The following is a 22679-nucleotide window of genomic DNA, read 5'->3' as shown; positions in this document are numbered from 1 at the left end:
ACAGTGACTCATATGTATAATCCCAGTACTTTGGAACACTGCAAGGCAGGAGGGTCACTTGAACCCAGGAGTTCGAGGCTGCAGTGAGCTATGCCTGTGTCACTGTGCTCTAGCCTGGGTGACAGAGCGAGACACTGTCTCTCTTTCTCTTTTTTTTTGAAAAGGTGGGGTTTTGGCATGTTTCCCAGGCTGATCTTGAACTCCTGGGCTCAAGTGATCCACCCACCTCTAAAAGTGCTGGGATTAGCATGAGCCACCGTGCCTGGCTAAGACACTGTCTCTTAAAAACAAAAAAGGTCTTAAAATTCTGTCCTTCTAACTGTACATTTTAAGGTTATTTGTATCTTATACACTTGCTGTTGTGGCTTTGAATAGGTCACTATGAACATTGATCCAATGAGTGATTTTAGCCTATCAAGTCATTCTTATGACTCCATAAATACTAGCTTCAGCTTCTTGTATACTATTGCCTCTGAGCTATTGTAGATAGAGCTTTGAAACCTCTCTCCAGCCCCAGTTTTCGCTGTCAGGACCACAGCGAGGTTCTCCAGCAAGTGGCTTGAACCCTAAGGGCTCCTTCCCTCTACTCTGGCTTCACATAGACCTTCAAGCATAATAAACCAGTTCCAGATAATGTGGAATAGTAAAAGTATTACAGGATACTAAAATTCCTTTTTTCTTTTATTTTGAGACACAGTATGTATAAAAAAGGTATTAACATGTGTAACTTATGAGTAATAGGAAATGCACAAATAGCCACCATCCAGGTCAAGAAATAAAACATTGCAGCACTGCAGAGCACACTCTCGTCCCATCCCACTAAAGGTAACTACTGTCCTGACTTATGATCATTATTTCACCAGGCCCCTTTTCAAACAGCCTGTCCTCACGTTAATAGTGGGGAGGGGCGGCTGGGTGCGGTGGCTCACGCCTGTAATCCCAGCACTTTGGGAGGCCGAGGCGGGCGGATGATGAGGTCAGGAGATCAAGACCATCCTGGGTAACACGGTGAAACCCCATCTGTACTAAAAATACAAAAAATTAAATGGGCGTGGTGGCGGGCATCTGTAGTCCCAGCTACTCGGGAGGCTGAGGCAGGAGAATGGCGTGAACCCAGGAGGTGGAGCTTTCAGTGAGCCGAGATCGCGCCACTGCACTCTAGCTTGGACGACAGAGCAAGACTGTGTCTCAAAAAAAAAAAAAAAAAAAAAGTGGAGAGGGGCAAAAAGAGCCCACGTGTGTCATGATAAGAAGCTAACCAAGGTCAGTTTCTCCATAGTAATTTCTAGACCTCATAATTGGTTTGAAAAGTCTTCTGAGGCCATAATTGCCCTGTGAGAATCTAGTCTGGATTCCTGATGCTGAATCTGATTAATTATTCTAAGACTATAAAGTATCTTATTTCTGTAAAGATTTTTCCTCCAGATACTCCAAATTGGATCTCCTTTGTTTTTATACCCTAAACCCTAAGCAGTTTTTGTAGGCTGGTCAGCAGGAAATTCTTGAGTATCATGTATGTGTAGTAGTATTAAAAATGACTCAGCACTAAAATGTCTCAAAAATTGTGGAATAGGCTAGTATTTCTAACTCAGAATACTGAGTCTGCACACCACCTAACAGCTATCCCAAAGTTATTGGTGAGCTTAGTTTTTTTTGTTTTTGTTTTTTAGCTTTTATTTGGAGTACAGGAGGGTGGATTTAGAGATCTGCAGGTCATGTTGACCTTGGTTTGTATCCAATAGAGTGGTGCTGCCTAGAGTTCAGATATACCTTGTTATAAATATCCCTTTTTTCCCCTCCCGGATTTAGTTTGCTTTAATTTTGCTCATATAAGGACATTTTATGATAGCCACAGCAGGGACCTGGTTCTCTGGAGTGAATTCAGGTGTGGTCTCTATAAGATGGGCAGTTAATTCCTGGAAGGAGATGTGGAGAACACAGTCTCTTTCCAGAAGTCAAGGAATGATACCTGTAGGTTTTTCAATATGGTATCAGAGGTGGCTTTAGCACAGTTGTTCAGGCTGTCGATATAGCCCTGACTTGTCAATACTAGCCAGCAGCAGCTTCTTAACCATGGGATAGTGGCAATGTTGGTACCTCTAGGGATAGGGATCAGACACACCAGCACAGAATCATAGCATCCAGTCACCTTGCAAGAACAGAGTGGGACTCCCCATCTAGTTCCCCTTGTAGCCTCCCTTCAGGGAGATGATGGATAGTTTATCCAGATGAGGCCTGTGTTGCTATTTCCCTGGAATACCCAATAATAAGCAGGCCACCATGGCTTTTGTAGTCTGTGATGGCTGTGAATGCCTGAGACCAGGTTCACCTGGCAAACCAGGCAAATTTCCAAGTGAGGTTTTAGGAGTTCATCTTTTAGGTATGACTCTAGGAAGAAGTCAGTCTTGGAGGTAGGAGAGGAGGCTTCTTTATAAACCTCATTATGTCCTCTACCAGATGGTCCATCCTGTTGACAGGAATTTACTTGTATCCTATGTTTCTGACTCTAGGGGCCCTGGGCCTCCAGCACTCCTTGCAGGATAGGCATCTCGTGTCACTGGGTGTTTTCTCGAAGAAGGTACCGTTGGACACGTTTGCATCAAGTTTGCAAAATGGGACCCTCAAAGGATAGAAAACCATGAATTGATGGGCTTGAATTTTTTTTGTTTTTTTGTTTTGTTGTTTGTTTTTTTTGAGACAGAGTCTCACTTGGTCACCCAGGCTCGAGTGCAGTGGGATGATCTCAGAGCTCACCGTAACCTTCACCTCCCAGGTTCAAGCTATTCTCCTGCCTCAGCCTCCCGAATAACAGGTGTGTGCCACCATGTCTGGCTAATTTTTGTGTTTTTAGTAGAGACGGGGTTTCACCATGTTGGCCAGACTGGTCTTGAACTCCTGACCTCAGGTATTCCGCCTGCCTCGGCCTCCCAAAGTGCTGGGATCACAAGCATGAGCCATGGGGCCCAGCCAAATGTTCATATTTTTATTTTTAACTCCCGTGGTTCAACTTTGGGCAAGACAACCTTCTTTCAGTATCAGTTTCCTGACCTGCAAAATGATGCTATTAACCAATTAAGAAAATCGACTAATAACTTAAGAGTTCTTGGGAAAAAAGTTTTCCTATATATAGTATGTGTGTTACCATGCTGACTGTGACTTAGGGCCCTGGTAGTTTCTGTAGCAGGAGGCTGTATGGGTCTGGGGGCAGTTGAGAATGCTAGAGTCGATGACTGGTGTGGAAATTCCCAGGGGGTGGTGACTCTGTTTTTCACCTTGCCGTGTCCAGGCAGGCCAGAGAGAATGAGTACTCAAGACACCTGGCCCAAACATTCATGAAGAAGACACCAAGTCAGAAGAGACTTCCTCCTTTGCATGATCCTGTAAGGACGGAAGAGGTATTTGAGGGAGCTGTATCTCAATCCTATGTCATGTGGTAGGAACCTTGACTTCCTTTAATTCACCTGATTACTGAATCATGATAATAGCTACCATTTTTTTTTTTTTTTTTTAGCTCTTCCCATATGCTAGGAGCTTTAGTATTTATTGTCTCATTCACAACAACCCTGCAAGGTATGTCTTGTTTTCTCCATTTTACACAAAACACAGTTGAGGCACACAGAGGATAAGTAACTGCCAAGGTTTCTTAGCTGGCAAGTGGTAGAGCTGTATTTGAACATGGGTCTGTTTCGTGTCGAAGCCCAAACTCCACATTTCTGGTTTGTCTCTAGCAGATTAGTTTAGACTAAGAAACAGCCCAGGCACTGGGCCACTGTGCTCGCTGACTCTGCCTTGTTCACTTGGTGATGCTGTGTGTGACAGATTAACACTTTATACCTTGGCTTACCTATCAGTCACTTGGGGATTTGGGATTTATGGGAAAAGGCCCTACTCATGCAGGGTAGAGAGATTTTAAGAGATACAGCTATTAGTAATGGCTTTAGAATCTTTTGCATGTAGAAAGTTCCTTAGACTACCAACTAATGAGCAAAGTGACTTCCAAGTTTAAGTGAATTCTATATAAAGAATACAAGACACCCTTGAGGATATAACTGAGGAAAAAGGCCCTGAAATTTTAGTATCCTTGCTTTGGTGGAAACTCAATAGGTATCAAATGAAATAATGAGGTCAGATATGTTACATAATACCCTGATGTTTATCTCTGGTAATTAAGTCTGCAGAAAAAGACTTATTGGAATAAATCTTTTGTCTCTAAACTCTGCTCATATGAAATAGCACCATTTGGCAAAGGCCAAATTCCTGGTGGATATCTCACTGAGGAAGCAAACATTTTCAAGAATGCCAGAGTTAAAGGGAGACAACACACACCCTAAACAAGACTGTGAAGATACTATGAAACTATTCTGTTGAAACCATAAGCATAGTATCTTTTCCAGGGTGAGGGGGTTTCTGTAACTCTCTTGAGTGAAGTCGCTCTTTCTGCAACCCCCCACTTCACCTGCATTATGGATTTGCACATAAAGGAGTTTTTCTGAATCTTCCCTTCTTCTACAGACCAACAATGTTTCCTCTCTCCTCAGAACTCCCACTTGAGGGAGTTGCCAAGACATTCCTCTGTTTGCCCATTAGCAGAGTCAGGGATATCAGAGTATTTGCAAGCCAGCTAGAGAGCCTTTGATGGCTTTTATGTTATGTTGAAAACAAAATGTTGTGTTATTGTGCAAGAGGAAGATTATGTGTGTGTCATCATTTTGTGCTTGGTCTCCTACGTCCAATCCTGCTCTAAGTTGTCATTTCATTTCCTAACCTCCTCCCCTCCCAGTCAGGTATTTCTGTTCCATCCCTGGGTTTGTAGCCTCCCTTTTTTTTTCTTGAGTTCTGTGCAGCTCTGCATTTCAGCAGACGTTTCCTATGTATCAAGCACTGTGCGGGGAGCTAGGGACACACAAGGTAGAATGTGATCCTGGCCTCTGAGAAGCTTACAATCTTGGGAGACAGATATAAACAATCTATTTTCCTTAGAGTTTCCTTCTCCTGAAGCTTGGGCACCCAAACCCATCACCACTGTCCCCCCCTTCAATAGTTTCTCCTGTTTACTTGGTGGGGAGCATTTCTTTATGTATTTGGAGACTTTCTATATTATAGAGTTGCTGTTGCTACAAGTGAAATTAGTCTAGCTTCCTACAGAGAGGGAAGTTACTCTCTCCCTGTTGATTTTCAGAGAAGAAAGAACCCTTGTAAAGATAGATTCCAAACCAAGAGACCCAAGGAGCAAGCGCATTATTGTGCCATAAATAGGCCATCACTTGGGCAGGTCCTGGGACAGCCTGGGAAAGGGGACTCGGTAATCTTAGGGCCCACTCTCCCTTTAATCTGCTCTCCCAGACAAAGCAGACCGGAAGTGTTGACTTTGGCAATAGGGAACTGGCCAATAGCCTGCAGCTCAGTGAATGAAATTAGAATCTTGAGTGGATGGGGAGAGGGAGGTATCTCCAACACTAATAGCAATCAAAGGGTTTGTGCTATGGTTATAATCAGTGTGGCAGAGGAAAGTCAAAGGAATACCATTTCCAATAAACTCAGAGGCGTGAAAAGGCAAATCAATTTTATGAACACCCATGAAATTGGTTGGTTGTGACCACTATGGGTGGAAACACTGAGCTTCAGTGGAATTTCCCTTAATATTAAACCAGGAAACTAGAGTCCCTGGTTATCTCTCTGTCGTATACAGCAGCTGACATCTATTCCTCCTGGGGATTGGGCAGATCTTAAAGTTGATGTCCTAAGCTTCTGACTGGGATCACAGCTCTGGATAGGGGTTGGGTCAGGCCATCGCCTTTAGAAAACCAGTTATTTAGCCTCTCTTTCCAATGGGATTTCTCTGAAACCTTGTTCATGATGATGCCAACTTGTGTCTCCTTGAAAAATCAAAACAATGGAATTAAACTTGGGTGTTCTCCTATAGATCTAGCATTTTATGTCACAGTCAGGGTAGACAAATGTGCTGTTGGCTCCTGGCAGGCTCATGTGCAGCTCTGGAGATGTTCTAAAGTGGGTGCAGTCAACAGCCACCCATCTGCATACTCCGCAGTGGTCTGGTTTAACAATTCTGACCTATCATCCCTCTAAACCTTGAAAACTCTGTGGTCTTGGCGTCCAAGCCATGTCTTCCAGTAGACTCTCACACCCAGAATCAGCAAAACCTCTTTTGTCAGACCATATCTTGAGTTTAGGCTTCAAAAAAATGGCATCGTGGGTTAGCTTTGTGGGGCGGGGTGAGTAAAACTCCAGTCCTGACTTTTAGGGGTATGGCTGGTCTTGGGGGCTTGGCATGGTGGGAAGAAGGGGCCAAGATAGTGGTTGGCATGAGGATATGGAGAACTTTGGAAGCAGAGCCAGAGACTCTGAGGATTGAGGCCCAGGAAAGTTTGGCACGAGTAACAGCTGGGTATTTAACCAGGAACAGTCACTCTATTTTTCTGAGCCTTGGCGGTATGTCAGAGCAACAAGCAGCTCTAGCAGGGTCTACGTCCTTCCTATTGTCTCCACCCCAACCTCACTCATCGTCCCAAACATCTGCTTCCAATTCGGGCCCTTGCCTTCTTGTCTGATTCCTGTACAAACCGCGGGTGGCACGGGTGAGGGGCAGGTCTGCAGGTGTGGACTGGGGAAGAAGAGGAAGGCTCTGGAAGAAGCTGCTTACAGGTTTAGTTTCAGGTCCTGATGAAGGAGTAAGGATTTGATCTATTAAAAAATTTTATATTTGTGTGTGTGTGTGTATACAAAATGTAAACAGTAAGTTGTTTCACTTCCTGGGTAAAAGTAACAATCTGAGGGAGGGAATTGGGACCAGCTGGAGAAGTCTCTGCGCCATCACATGGCCTGCTTTTCAAAGGCAGCACAGAGTCACTCCAGAGGCAGCAAACTGAAGTGATTAGTGCCCACAAGGAGCAGCCGAAGGTGCTAATGAGGTATTAACACCGCTTCTCCAGCTAGCAGCTGTGGATACTCCGAACAGACCAGTGAGGCAGAGCAGCAAAAGCAGCCTGGAACTGGAGGCGGCCAGGAGAGGAGCAGCAAGCCGGTGCCCACAGTCAGCCACGGCACCCTCAGCAGGCCCATTAGGAGGAATTGAGAAGCTTCTCCAGTGTTTGCCCTAAAATCTCAATCCATTTTAAGTGACAGAAAGTGACAAAAAACACCCCAGAGGAAAATACTGGGGCCTAAGGGAGTAATCTCAGAACTCTTGTAATAATAATAATAATAGCAGCCAACATCTAATACATGCTTACTCTGTGCCAGGCCCTATTCTAAGCACTTTGTCTGTGTTAATTCATTTAATATTCACATCATTCTATAAGCTGAAGACAATCATTATTCCCATTTTACAGATGAGGAAACTGAAGTACAGAGAAGTAAGTTGCGCAGGATTACATGTCCAGTGGATGGATGTAGGTGTCAAATTGGCTCTGACACGTTTTCTCACACAAGCCCAAAGGAGGTGGAGTTAGGGGCAGGACAGACAAGTCTGGAGAACACTGGTAAGAGAGTTGCTAGTGTTCTGTTCATCCTCTAACCCAGGGAGACATTGTGTAGGTCTGTGACTTCTGGGACCCCAGGGAGCCAGTCTGGCCGGCACTTCTTTGTCCAGTCCTGCTGCCTGGTGCCTCCTGAGGTTTCTGTTTCCCAATCAGGGTACGGGTTCCATTCTCCACCTCCCTCTCCAGGGCAGGAGGCACCCTCCATCCCTCAATCCAAATAAGCTGGGAGAGATGCCTCAGGGAGTTGGCCAGGCTCCAGGCCCCTGATGGGAAGTGGAAGAAGACACTTACTAAAGGGCAAGATCTGGCCAAGACCTGTGGGCTACCAGGATCCCCATTAAACTTCAAAGCTGAGCGCTGAGGCCGAGCCCATCATTTGACTGGCAACTCAGGAGCTGGTTGGACAGACCAGCTCACCGTGGCGGGCCTCTGTCTTGCAGAGAAGCAACCGTGTGGATAGTGACAGGCCACAGGCCTCTTCCAGCTGTTGCTTCCAGGGCTGAGCCAGAGGCCACTTTCCATGGGCACAGCCCATTTTTACTAAGATGAAAGGTTCTAGGAGGCTTACCTGACCAGGCCAGAGGCCCAAGGACGGTGGCTGTGAAGCACCACCAGCTCTCAGTGAACGTGGTCTGAACCATCTCAGCTCGTTCCTGCCTTTGTTCCTTTACTTGTTCTGTGCACTCTGCAAGGAATGAGGCCCATCCCGTCCTTCCTCCCTGCTACCTCCCCATCCTTCAAACCTGGCTCGTGCCAGAGGATATGAGGATTAAATAAGAGAACTCATGAAAAGTGCCGGTACTGTGTCTGACACTAAGTGTAAAAAAAAAAATTAGTAGTTAGCAATAGTAAACCACTATCCACAGTTGTCTTTGGTTATGTTGTGGATTTGAATTTGGAAGATCTGGGTTCAAATTTCTGACTTGCCACTGCCTAGGTGTATACTCTGCATAAATTGCTTAGTCGCTCTTAACTTTAACTGGGAAATAGTGATTCTAACAACGTACAAGTGTACCCGACAGAGGGCACGTAAAGCTTAAATGAGACAATGGATGTGAATAGTGTTTTGTAAATCACAAAACATCCTCTTAATTCCAACATTGCCTCTCCCACGTCCACTGGTACTGACCTTGGCCTGACCTGGGTATAGCTAAATTCCTTTGCTCTTCCATTCAGCAAAGACAAACCAAGAATTTTTTCAGAAGAAACTTTGGTTTAAAAAATTAAAGGACTAAACTAAAGGAAAATGCAAAAGAAGAGGAGTGATTGGGCTTTTGGAATACTGATGTCTCCTGCTACTAAGTCCAACCTCAGGGGCCAAACTCACTGTCAGTTATGGCCATAGTTACCATTTGCTCTCCCTCCTCAGTCTTGCCAGGGTCTTCCTGACATGGATTCAGAGTTGAAGGGCACTGAGGAAATGAAGAGCCCAGAACAATTCTGAGCCACCCTCCTCCCTTACACACACACCCAGGATGTGGCTAAAACTTACAGACCTTAAAATATTATGTGCCCAAGCCTCACAGCAAGTCCAGCTACCAGAGGCCAGTTTCCTGAGAAGCTAATGAGGCTTACATTGAGGGCCGCTCACCTACAGGAGTTCCTTCCAAGGTCATATTTTTTTTCAAAGTCATAGTATTTGCTAAGGTAAAAACAACAAACAAACAAAAAAAACCAAAAAACTATAGCTAGGTGTGGTGGTATGCACCTGTAGTCTCAGCACTTGGGAGGCTGAGGCAGGTGGATCAATTGAGCCCAGGAGTTTGAGAGAGTAGTGCACTATGATCACACCTGTGAATAGCCACCACACTCCAGCCTGGGCAACATAGCAAGACCCTGTCTCCTCCCAAAAAAATTTAACTGTAGTCAGTCTCCACCCTGATTTCTTATCTGTCACACCTCCCTTCATGTCAGGCTGTGGTGAGGTGGCTGTGGCATTTGGGAGTATGACTAAAGGAATTTGAGTTGGGAATATACTCAGTTGGGCCTTCTGTAATATATTCATTTGGTTATGTTGGGAAAACACTCCGTTGGGTTGTATGTAATATGTGTATGTCATGTAGTATATTTATTGCTAACTGTCCTGATTATAAATGGCTTGTAGAAATAATTCCACCATACACTGTGCTGATTCACCTGACACAGTGGCAGGTGCAGGATCAGCAGCTGTCACATTGGGACCAGAAGTATGAAGACAGGAGAGGAAAAACAAGAGTTGAAATGTATGGAGCCAGGTGGGGTGTGGTGGCTCCCGCCTATAATCCCAGCACTTTGGGAGGATGAGGTGGGCAGATCACTTGAGCCCAGGAGTTCGAGACCAGCCTGGGCAACATGGTGAAACCCTGTCTTTACAAAAAATACAAAAATTAGACGGGCATGGTGGCAGGCGCCTGTAATCCCAGCTACTCATGAGGCTGAGGTGGGAGGATCACCTGTCACCTGAGCTTGGGAGGTTGAGGCTGCAGTGAGCCGTGCTTGTGCCACTGCACTCCAGCCTGGGTGACAGAGTGAGACCCTGTATATTAAAAAGAAAAGTATGGAGCTAGAAGCTAGTCTGTGAAAAAGCCTCTCAGTCCTCAGATGCTCAAAACCTACCGAGGTCTTCTGTTGCCTAAAGCTTACATAATTTTGGGATCCCTTTAAAAAAAAAAAAGAATACAAAATTAAATATGAAGGAAAATTTTGAAATAAGAAAAAAAAATCACAACAAATCCTAAAACTTAAAAAGCTGGCAAATACCACAAACATCATAAAGTCTAGACAAATAATCCAGACCTGCATCTTGGATGTGCCCTGTTGGCCGCCTGTGTGCCTGCCTCACCAGTCCACCATTTCATGGGAAGAGAGACGCTAAAGAATCATCTTCAGGATGACTGGAGTTTCCAGGAATAGAGAAGAATAACAATAATGAAATATGAATTTTATGCCCTTTTTTTGGCCTCCCTGTGCAGGTTCCTGGAGGGAGTACACAGTCCCGAAGGCAGCAGCTCAGACAGTTTCCTGAGTTGAGAGCCGAGAACTACATGCCAGGGGCCATCCAGGGTTCCTATGGTGCTGGCCTTTGCCATGTTCAAATACAAGGAGCACAGATTTCCTGAGTTAGAAGGCTATCTTGTTGTGACTAATTCCTTAGAAACTTGGGAGGACTTGCCTTGGCCCAAGGGCAGCTCTGCAGGAAGACAGGGTCACACAGCTTAGGAGACACCTCCTAATGTTTAGCATTTCCCAGTGTCTTAAGATGTTTTCCCCAAAAGCAGACCCAGCAAACAAGGGTTTGTGTGAAAGTGGTGATTTTTTCCCAAATCTTCCCAGGAGTAGGGGAAGGGGACTGAAAAGAGGAGGCCAAGCAAGGATACAATGTCAAGCAAAAGGCCACGAAGGGTAAGTGGCTCAGTCTGCAAGAGCTCTGGAGATGGAGGAGATATTTCTACCTCCACACTCAGAGTCACTGGTCAGGGGCTGCCTGTAGGGGCTCAGGGACGAAACCTCCCCGGCACTGGCCTGCCCTCCATGCAGGTGGCCAGAGCAGGTTCCAACAGCCTGAGGGCAGCCCGCTGACAAACAGGCAGGTGTGGGCTGTTGGGAGTGAACCATGTGTCCTGAAGTGATACGGGGATCGGAAGACATGGGGGCAGAGTGCTGACTGCGTCTGCTATCCTCCTGCCCTGTCTGCTCCTAACTGCTTTGGTTGTATGGTCCTCATTAGTGGCTTGTTATGACTAGGAGTTATCCTGTATTGATTATCTCATTGAATCCTCAAAGTAGCGCTGTTAGCACCCCCATTTTATGGGTGAAGAAACTGAAGCCCAGAGGCAGCTGCTGAGACCTGCCTGAGATCTCCCTCAGCTGCAAGCTGCTCTCTTCAGTCTTCCTGAAAGTTATTCCAGGTCTCAGCACCCTGTTTGTTTCTTGCACGAGCAGAGGCTCCCTGTCTGGTTTGTTCGCCATTCACACTCACTGCCTAACACAGCCTCAGGCATGTGTGAAAAAGATGCTCAATGCATAAAGGAACCTAGAACCAAGAGCTTAGCCTCCACACTAAATGCCAAGCCTCCTGGGATCATGCCTTACGGTATGGTGCCACAGTGATACCCCCTCAGTGCCGCCCAGTGCTGGGGACCGCAAGGTGCCTGTGGATCCTGGAATGAGTGCCTGCTGGGAAGGGAAAGCCCCTAAGCAGAGACTCGAGAGTGCCAGGGAGATGGGTCCCAGCTGCATTCCGACAGCAGCCTCCTCCATATCGGCAGAAGCGTTTGTGAAATTGTCCTCTAAATGATTCCAGTCTCCTGGGAATGGCAACATTCTATTTTTGGATGGTTTTTGGTGTGTCCCTCAAGTCCCCCCTAAAAGTTGTATAGCATTCACAGCCTGTGTACAAGTTTAGAATTAATTTGTGAGATTGCTAGTGGCCTCTGGAATGTGCCACAAATGGTCCCAAAATCCTGCCTGAGAGCTCAGAGAGCTGTGGACAGACCCAAAAAGGAAAATAAGACAACTGGATATAGAGCCCGTATCAATTGGATAAAGTATTTAGACTGTATACAAGCCAAAGAAAAAGCACATTTGCCTTTGGAGGCTGTCTGGGGCCCTGCAGGGGTTGAAAGGGAAGGGCTGCTCCTAGCTCTCTGGAGAGCAGTGGAGGATACAAAACATGCTCCATCCTGTCCTGCCTAGCCTTCACCTGGGCCCGTGTCCTTGGGGGTAATTGTGACCATGGTACCCAGCTGTGCTGCCTCTTCCTGGTGCTGGAGAGGGCTGGCTCCAGGCCAGGAAGGAGAGAAGGCCACACTGAATGAAACCTAAAGCTGGGTAGGGGCTGGGGCAGAGCTGCTCTTGCAGGCTTGGGAGCTCCAGGCTGGTTGCCACCTGCCCTCCCCAACTCAAACTAAATATCCAGCCCTGTGGGTAAGTGAGCAGTTCTTGGCCTCATCCTGCCCAGGCGTCTCTGGCTTGAAATCGCCTTCCTTCATGAAACTGGGGCTGCCGTCTGCCCTTGGACTGTTCTTCCCGTTCTTCACCCCAGGGGTTCAAGCTGATTGGCAGACTTATCCAAGCATGAAGGGTAGGGGCACTGGCCTTGGGCAGCAGCCAGGAAGAGGGAGGGAGGGAGAGGCACAGACCAAGGACAGACATGGAGTCAGAGAACGCCTGAGAGCAAGAGACAGTAAGACAGGCAGTGGTATGAAGACAGAGGGAGAGGGAGGCAGGGAGAGGAGGCATATCCTCCAAGAATGCAGAAGGAGTGCTTCATTGCCTAGAGGGAGGGGGAAGAAGGAGAAGGTGACAGCTGAGCAGACTGGGCTCTTAGCTGGGGCTCCCACAGTGTCTGAGCTGCCTCACCCATCTGCATTTTTCAGTGGAAGGCATGTGTTCTCCAAGGTGGGCCTTAGGTGCTGGAGCGGGGGCTTTCAACATCCCCACATCTGCTTCCCATCTGCATCCCCACTCATGGCGGATTTATATCCCAAGGCTTTCTCGCCAGAGCCACAATCCATTCAAAACAAACCGTGGTTTTTCATTTGTAGCTGCAAATCCATGGAGTCATCTTCAGCTCTCTTGGGTTGCCTGAGGCCCCACAGGGCTCCCGGCAGTGCCAGTGTGGATTCAGGATGGAGAGTCAATGGCAGAGGAAGGAGAAGGGAGTCGGGGGGGAAGAAAGAGGCCCTCTGCCTGTGACCTGCAGAGAACTTGAGTCCTTGCTGAAGGGCTTTGGGAGGCACCCCAAGTCCACTGGATCTCCCAGGTCCTTCCCCCGAGGCTGCACCTGGCGTGCTGTCGGCATGGCCAATTGGTCCTTTCTGTATCTGGGAAGTGGGGTGCTGAGGCAGAGCCACAACCGGCCATGTCATTGCAAGATGTGCAATGGCCTTGAAAATGGCGTTTGTATGTTTTTTTTATGTTTATGTTTTTTTTTTTTTCTTAGACTGAGTCTCGCTCTGTCACCCAGGCTGGAGTGCAGTGGCATGATCTCGGCTCACTGCAACCTCTACCTCCTGGGTTCAAGCAATTCTTCTGCCTCAGCCTGCCGAGTAGCCGGGATTACAGGCACGTGCCACCATACCCGGGTAATTTTTTATATTTTTGGTAGAGATGGGGTTTTACTATCTTGGCCAGGCTGGTCTCAAACTCCTGACCTCAAGTGATCCACGCCCCCCTTGGCCTCCCAAAGTGCTGGGATTACAGGCGTGAGCCACCGCACCCGGCCATGTGTTTTTAAAAAAAGTTTTAAAAAGCTAATAAATGGGTTCGATAAAACAACCCAGGCCCAAACTCCAGTTTTTTATGTAAACACAAGGCTTAGAGACTTGACAACATCTGTCTCCCTCCTGCCATTCTGCCATGGTGAGTGCCCCATCTTCCCTTCCCTGGGCTCAGGACCTATCCCCTCCAGGGTTTTTTTGACCCTTCTGCCACTCCGTCCCAGGCCTTTCACTGCCTCTCCTCATTAGTCTATTCATTTATTTATTCATTCACTTACTATTTTCAGCACCCATTCAATAATTCATTTATTCAACCACTCATTTCTTCATTCAGTGTTTATTGAGCACTGTGCTAGGCTTACAGCAAATAAGAGGCAAATCTTCTAGTGAATGAAAGATAGCTTGAGGGGAGAGAACAGCACAAGCAACGTCGTGAGTCAATGTATAATTAAGGGGCTTACGCAGTACATTCCCTAGGATTTTGGAAAAGAGAAATGGAAATCTTCCCAAAGGAAGTGGGAGTTTGGTGTCTCCCCGTCTGCTCTGAGGACATGGCTCTCTAACAGAACATAGAGGTGGGAGAACTCGAACATCCTTGATTCTGCCCTGAAGCCGCTCAGGCCTGGAGTTACAGGAAGACATGAGAGGCAGGAGATTAGGTAATAAAAAGGGGACCCTCCGCAGTGTGAGCTTCGGTGGGACTCCTGAGGTTGGGGGTAGCATTCTGCTGGCCATCTGAAACCACGCATCAGCCCCTCAGGCCTCTGGAGAGGAGGAGGCCAGACCACGAGGCGAAACAGAGCTGGGGATTCAGCCAGACTTGCCTGGGAAGAAGAGGCTTGGGCAGAAGAATATGGGAGGGAAGCCAGGTGAGCAAGAGGGAGAGGCTCCAGCTCTGTGGAGGACGGGGCAGGAATCTCCTTGAGAGGAAGTAAGGGGGTGGCCCGAGGTGGGCAGTGGGGTGGTGGTGGTGTGTATGTTAGGGGAAGGCAGGAAACTGAGAAGTACTAGAGCAAGACCAGGGGCTCAGGACACAGGCACAGTGGGGGAATCAGGACAAGCTCCTGCTTCCTGCTCAGCTGTCAGCTTTCTGAGGGATTGAAGTAAGCTCAGAACTCTCTCAGTAACAAGTAGTAGAAGGGAATTGACTGTCTCGTGTAACTGAGAAGTCAAGCCTGGGATGAACTTCGGCCCATTCTTGATTCAGGGGCTTGTACAACCCATCAGGACTTTCCCCTCCACTCCCGGCTCTGCCTTCAGGGGTGTTGGCTTTATTCTCAAGCCGCAAGCTCTTAGCTCACTGGTTTTACCATGAAAAGCCCCAGCTGCAAAATTCTCTCTAGTGCTGATTAGGTCTTGTGTCCTTGCCTGAACCAATCACTGTGGCTAGGGCAATACAGTTATTTGATTGACCAACGCATGAATCACATGATACCAGGGTGTGGGTCTACAGAGGAAAATGGATACTTATGTCAAGAGGGGTGAATGGTTTTGCTAGATGACAAAAATGCAGCTGTTCCTGTCCCCCTCTACTGTCTTAAAAAGTAGTGTAGTCTGTGGCCGGGCACATTGGCTCACGCCTGTAATCCCAGCACTTTGGGAGGCTGAGGCGGGCGGATCATGAGGTCAGGAGATTGAGACCATCCTGGCTAACATGGTGAAACCCCTTCTCTACTAAAAATACAAAAAAAAAATTAGCTGGGCATGGTGGCGGGCACATGTAGTCCCAGCTACTTGGGAGGCTGAGGCAGGAGAATGGTGTGAACCCAGGAGGTAGAGCTTGCAGTGAGCCAAGATGGCACCACTGCACTCCATCCTGGGCAACAGAGTGAGACTCCATCTCAAAAAAAAAAAAAAAAGTAGTGTAGTCTGTTATTTGGTTAGATTATTTTTATTCCAGAAGAATGTATGCTCTGTGAGAGCAGTGATGTCACTTTCGTTCACTGCTGAGATCCCAGGACTCGCAACAGTGTGTACTATGATGTAGATGCTTAATAAGCAATTGCTGAATGAATTTAGCAGGATGAGCTAATTGCTGGAAATATCAGACTCCTAACTAATGGTTATTAAATGTTTACATGTATCACGGGCTGTTCTAAGCAATCTGTATATGTAAACTCAGTAATTACACAAATCCATGGCCAGGACTGTCATTATCACCTGCACTTTACTGATGGGGAAACTGAGGCATGAGGTGGTTACACAGTAAGTGGCTATAAGGATTTAGACCAAGGCATCTGGCTCCAGCACAGCCACTCTTAAGCACTATCTCATACTGCTTGGTAGATGTGCCAAGTCCATGAGTCGGACTTTCAGGGCAAGCCAATTTTCCAGCCTACAGTTTCCACGGATACAGTTTCCTTTGTCTTTAGGTTAAAAGTTTCTCCAGCTTTACTCGAGGCTCACAGAACAGTGGAGGTGAGTGATTCTGTTGCTTTTTGTTTGTTATTATTTTTTAAATACAGGGTCTTGCTCTGTCGCCTGGGTTGGAGTGCAATGGCATGATCTTGGCTCACTGCAACCTCCGCCTCCAGGGCTCAAGCGATTCTCCTGCCTCAGCCTCCTGAGTAGCTGGGACTACAGGTGCGTGCCACCACACCCAGCTATTTATTTATTTATTTATTTATTTATTTATTTATTTATTTATTTTTAGTAGAGATGGGGTTTCACTATGTTGGCAAGGCCGGTCTTGAACTCCTGACCTCAGGTGATCCACCAGCCTCAGCCTCTCAAACTGCTGGGATTACAGGTGTGAGCCACCATGTCCAGCTGGAGGTGAGTGATTCTATGGGGCATCTGAACATGCGTTCTTCCTCCCAGCTGAGAATTGAATTAAATACAGCTTCTTAGTTGGGGAATCACAGGAAGGCTGAGTTTATACATACAGCCTATTTTTTCATTCTCCCATTCATTCATTCAAACTATATGGAACAAGATGAGTCTGAAACATCTTGTGGTACCAGGGAATAAGGAAGTACTCGGAAAAAGATGGGCATGTTGAAAGGACACAACAGCCAACTTGTAGGAGCTCCCAGTGGCTGGAACGGTTTAAGCAAGAACATAAAATAATGATAACATTGAATTATAACCCCTGGGATACAATAAATACCCGAGAGCCCCTACTGAAATAAGCAATTGAATTAAAAAAATGGGGAAGAAGTAACAACTCTTCTTGGCAGAAGAATTTCAATTAATAAATATAGAAGAAAGGAGGGAAATACAGAATCACCACTATGCAGACACAATAGTAATAATTGTCGGCCAGGAACAAAAATCAAAAACAAAAACAAAGTTGTTGATAAGATCCACCAGTGATGGCCACTCAAATCAGTGGGAGAATCAGGATATTTGCACAGTCTCAAATTATCTTCCCCAATATACTTATTAACTAAAGAGGGAAGTATAGTAGTAATTTTAGAGTGGAGAAACAGTGGAGAAATCCGGCATATATGAGCTTAACTAAGAGATCAAGATTAACATCACCAGGAATAAGATGTGTTGACATTACGTATCCCCTGAGACGATGCCTTGAGGTCACAGCATCACCTCTATTCTGTGTATAACCTCAATCTAATCACAAGAAGACAGCAGACATACCCAAGTTGAAAGATAGACTACAAAATAACTGAGGGGTACTCATTAAAAGAGTCAAGGTCATGAAAGACAAGGATAGACTAGAGAGCTGCCATAGATTAGAGGAGACTAAGGAGACCCAACAACTAAATACCCTGAGCAATCTGAGAGCAGAAAAGGGACATGGGGAAAACAGAGGAAATTAGAAAAGGCCCTGTAGTTTGGTTAATGATACCTATGTTAATTTCCCATGTTAATTTGGTAATTGTACTCTGGTTATGTAAGCTGTTAGTATTAGTGGTTCACATACATCACTGTACTATTTTTGCAACTCTTCTCTAAGTCTATAATTATTTCAAAATGAAATGTTAAAACATGTATTTATTGAGCACCTAATTACCACCAAGCATCTGGGATACAAAAGCTTAGTTGTACAAAGATCACCGTGACAAGGTTCACTCCTGCTTTCAAGTAGCAGTGTTTCTCAAACTTTAATGTGCATTCAAATCACTGGGGTTCTTGTTAATATACAGATTGTGATCTGATATGTCTGTGATGGGCCCCGAGATTCTGTGTTTCTAACAAGCTCCTGGTTGACGCTGATGCTATGGGCCCACGGACCACACATTGAGTAACAATGGCTTGAAGTGCAGTAGGAGAGCAAAACATGCACACACGTGGCCATGATAAAAGAAAGTGAGCTGTGCGGTGACAGCTGAGAACATACGTGACAGGAGCCCCAGACTTCTCACATGGGATCCTGAGCAGAGAGGAATCCTTCAGGCTTTGCGTGCCTTCTGGCCTCAGCCTGGTTCTCGAAAGCGTTGGCCAGTTCTTTCCAGGCTACCTCTGGCTGCAGACTTGCTGGGCCGGGCCAGGCCAGGCTGGGGCTAAGTGTAAAGGGACAGGTGCAGAGTAACTGATGCACTCAGAAATTCCACCAGTGCTTATGAGAGCCAGGCCTGGCCTTGGGGTGCACACATGTTCTCTCTCAGACCTCAGCTGGTCAACACCAGCCCAGCTTTCCCTGGAATGATCCCTCTGACCAGCTCTCAGGCGAGAAATGCTTGTGTGATGTATTGCTCCCCAGGGCTCTCTGGGATCCAAGAATGTACACAAACAGAGCCAGTCAACCCAGACAGTGCATTATTTCTACTGATAAACATATATGTTCTTACAAATATGCTCACAAAATTGCCGAACTATGCTCAGCACCCAACTAGTAGCTTCGGCCACATTCTGCCTAGTGATACCGTTTTGTTCGGATTCTCAGGCCTCCTAAGAGTACCTGTGATGTCCCCTCCCCAGCCAGTCTCAGCTTGGCAAGCTCTCATAACACTCCACCCTCATAGCATCTCAATCCATGCAAAGTCATTCTAGACTTTAAGTCCAGGGAGGCCATACTGTGGGCCGCTGGGACCCGAACAGATAGAATCTTCTCAGTTTAACTCTGCTTCCTGGAAAGGTTTGTAACACATATTCACACAGGGGACTGTGCAGGAAGATGTGCGTGTTCACAAACAGGTAGCAGGTGGCATCTGGGAGTCTGGTTGACAGATTTGTAATCCACAGCCAAGCAAGTGAGCTCTGAAAGATGGGGCCTGGAGAAGGTTGCTGAATCTTTTTTTTTTTTTTTTTTTTTTTTTTTGGCAGAGTCTTGCTCTGTCGCCCAGGCTGGAGTGCAGTGGTGCAATCTCGGTTCACTGCAACCTCTACCTCCCGAATTCAAGTGATTTTCCCACCTCAGCCTCCCACCAAGCAGCTGGTATTACAGGCATGCACCACCACACCCAGCTAAATTTTGTATTTTTAGTAAAGACGGGGTTTCATTATGTTGGCCAGGCTGGTCTCAAACTCAGGTAACCTCAGGTGATGTGCCTGCCTCAGCCTCCCAAAGTGCTGGGATTACAGGTGTGAGCCACCACGCCCAGCCAGTTGCTGAACCTTTAAGGGCACTTGCCACGTGCCAGGTATGTCTCATTTGGCCCTCCCAGACATGCCTTTGGCGGGTGGTGGGCGGGAAGACTCTAACATGGTGTCAGCTGGGAGCCTACCTAGCCTGGAATTTAATTCTTCCCCAGCCCCCAATATTTTTGTGGCTTAAGTGAAGTTGAAGCTTCTCTCTAAGATTTCTGTGAACTCCTACAGACTTGTGGGTCCTTGAGCCCCTCTGCATCCATACCTGCTGGGGCAACCCTGCCATGGTCACAGCAAACCAAACACAACTTCCTCTAAGCAAATCCTGTGATCAGTATGGAGATGGCAGGGAGTTGATCTAATCCTGGCCCTATCCCCAGGGCCTCCCAGGAGATCTGTTGCTGTCCTCCTCCTCTATTTTGATGCTACAGACCCAGTGCAGACCCCACAGGTTCCTGATAAGCTCTGAGTCCTTCCTTGGACTGACAAGTTGGCCAAATGACACTGCTTCAGAGGATAAGCAATCCCTCATGTTCCAAAGATGAGAGCTCTCCTGATGTCCCATTTTTGGGTCCCATGAGACTTCAGGATCATCTTCCAGCCTAAAATTGATGTCTGTTTTGCTTCACTTCTCTTGTCCTTCTTTCAAGTCCAGTAGAGCCCATTCCCTCCAGGAAGCTTCCCCCAACTCCCCCAGCACACAAGGACATCTTCTTTCTTTGACCCTCTGTATCCTATTGTCAAACCCATCACGGGAGGCAGGAGAGGAAAGAGGTTACTGGTGCAGGTTCTGAACTTAGCTGTCTGGGTTCAAATCCCACTCCCGCCATCTGGGTGTTGTGTGACCATAAGCAAATTATTTAGTACTTCCAGGCCTTAGTTTCATTGTCTTTAAAACAGAGGGAGTAACAATAATTCCTATCTCATGGGGTTGTTATAAAGATTAAAAGAGATAATGCGTGTAAAGCTATATAGACTAAAATCTGGCATGCAGTAGCTGCTTAATAAATATTACTTATCAATAGCTATTGATATCAACCATTCAATTAGTACTTAATTTCATACTGCTTTATTCCAAGGGTATCAGGGATGACTTGCTGATGTGAACACAGGAAGAGGTCTCTTAATGATAATTGCAGCAACAACGCATCTCTTGCCAGGCACTGGGTTACGGGCTTACTCACATTATCTCTGGGCTTGAAGAACCATCAGTTAACCAGTGAAATAGTGTGGAAATTGTAGCATGTTATGAGGGTAATTTGGTATTTTTTCTGTTTGTTTGTTGTTGTTGTTGTTTTGTTTTGGTTTTTTGTTTGTTTTTTGAGACAAAGTCTCACTTTGTTGCCCAGGCTGGAATTTAGTGGTGCAATCTCAGCTCACTGCAACCTCCGCCTCCTGGGTTCAAGCAGTTCTCTGCCTCAGCCTCCCGGGTAGCTGGGATTACAAGTGCCCACCACCACACCCGGCTACATTTTTTTGTATTTTTAGTAGAGACGGGGTTTCACCATCTTGGCCAGGCTGGTCTTGGACTCCTGACCTCGTGATCCACCCACCTCAGCCTCCCAAAGTGCTGGGATTATAGGCCTGAGCCACTGTGCCTGGCCATGAGGCGTGTACTTCATTTGAAATGAAGTGCAAGTGCAAATACAGGGTTTTAATTTATTGGGGTGTTTTGGGTTTTGTTTGTTTGTTTTGTTTTGGGCTGTGTAAATGGGGACTAGGAGAACTGGAGGGTACAGATTTGCCAAGGTTTTTTCCAGACTTGTCCAGTAGGAAAAGTGTTCTGATTATTTCCTGAGCAAGATCTGAAAATCTGTCAGATGGAGGATCAGCAGAGCTATCCTGAAAACCTGCCATTTAGGATCTAGGTTGTTCAGTCAAATCTCTCCATTAGACCTAAATGGGGCCTGGAAGCAAGAGGCCTGTCTGGTTGTCAGCTGGTTGTACTCACCATGCCTGTCTCCTTTATTTAAATTGTTAAAAGCAAAGGCAAGCTTGACTCCTAGCTCTCTATTCCTTACAAGCTATGTGACCTGGACAAGTTGCTTAACCTCTCTGAACATCTGTTCCCTTATTTGTGAAATGAGGACAATAATGCTTGTGTAATACTTCAGTCCCCTTGAGGATTAAACAAAATAACATAATCAAGAGCATAGCACAGTGTCTGATACTTGGCACACCAATAGCTATTATTATTTTCCTCATCTTGGGACATGAAAACTGCCTCATAAGCTGCTCTCTTCCCAGAGCATTTGCTTTTTATATTATTTTGTTCCATCCTCTTCTACGTTTCCTAGATAAACTTATTTTGACAAATTCTGCCTTGGCTGAACTTTGGGAAAATGAGCATGTCCATCCCTAGAACAGTGATTGGAGGCTGCCTTTTGAGCTCAGCCACCATGGTGGTAGCTGGAAATCTGGGGAAACTGAGGCAGACAGTGATGCAAAACTGAGGACAGGGCCACTTGGGATGGTGAGAAACAGCTCAGATTTTGTTCTCTTCTCCCTTGGGGGTATTAACCTGTGTTCTTGACTCCCCAACAAATTATAAGCCCCTGAGGCACTCTGCCTCAGTTCCTCTGCCTATAAAATAGGAATAATAATGCTATCAACTTCGTAGGGTTGTTATGGGGATTAAATGAGATAATAAACTTATGTGCTTAGCACCAAAGCTTGGCAAATAGTGTGTGCCCAACAAATACTAGCTTTTACCATTTTATGTGTCCACGAGGCCTAACATCGCTGGGCACACAGTGAGGTTCCCGAATCCTGGACTCCACCCCTCAGAGTTGGTGCTTTTCTGCCCTGACTCCCTGCAGTCCACCTGAGTTCAGCCCCACCTTGTTGATTCCATCGGGAGGTGACATTGAAAACCACAGATGCCATCTGTTGGGGATTCTGAATTGTTTCTGGCCCTTATCAGCAGTGTAAAGGGGGCCAGGTTGCGGACAGCTTAATGAGGAAAACAGGAGCTTAGCGGCTGCCAGAGGGCAACAGAGTGCCGGAGTACCAGCCCTTCCTCTGGAGGAGACACTGTCTGCCCAGGCTCTTGGCTGACGCACGTCGTGAGATCTGACTTCCTCTCTCTGTTTTCTTTTCAATACAGAATAACTTTCCCTACCTCAGGCCCTCACCACCCACTCTCTGGCCCAGCCTCTACCTTGGAAACAGGGTTGAAACATTTGGGAGCTGCCCCATTCATCAGGCATCCCATTTGGATCATTCAACAGTCCCCAGTACTTCCCCACTTCCCCCTTCTCTCTCTCTTGTCCCATGAGGAGTATCCATGGCAAACTCAATAAGACCTAAGATCTTTACCTTCATTTTCTCATTCAATCATTTCTACAGTCCTATGACATAGCTCTTATCCATCCCATTTTTACAGAAGCAGGAGCAGAGTCTCAGAGGTTCAGATCTTTGCCGAAGGTCACACGGCTAGAATAGGGAGCAGCTAGATTTGAATTCAGGCCTTCTGGCACCTGCTCCCTTG

General features: G+C 46.5%; 1 long non-coding RNA gene and 1 pseudogene across 2 annotated transcripts; one reads left to right on the top strand and one right to left on the bottom strand.

Moving 5' to 3' along the window:
* On the bottom strand, positions 1848–2407 carry LOC100419503 (ribosomal protein S2 pseudogene; annotated as a pseudogene).
* Positions 2925–9609, top strand: LOC105370567 (uncharacterized). 2 transcript variants are annotated; one of them, XR_007064268.1, is made up of 2 exons: positions 2925–3395; positions 6951–9609. It is a non-coding gene; the product is annotated as an uncharacterized LOC105370567 (long non-coding RNA). The 2 variants fall into 2 exon arrangements; XR_007064267.1 differs by having other exon boundaries at positions 3512–9609.
* The last annotated feature ends 13070 nt before the right edge of the window (positions 9610–22679 follow it).

Source organism: Homo sapiens, chromosome 14, assembly GCF_000001405.40.
Source record: "Homo sapiens chromosome 14, GRCh38.p14 Primary Assembly".
Taxonomy (NCBI): Eukaryota; Metazoa; Chordata; class Mammalia; order Primates; family Hominidae; genus Homo; species Homo sapiens.
This window is presented reverse-complemented; position numbering and strand designations above follow the sequence as displayed.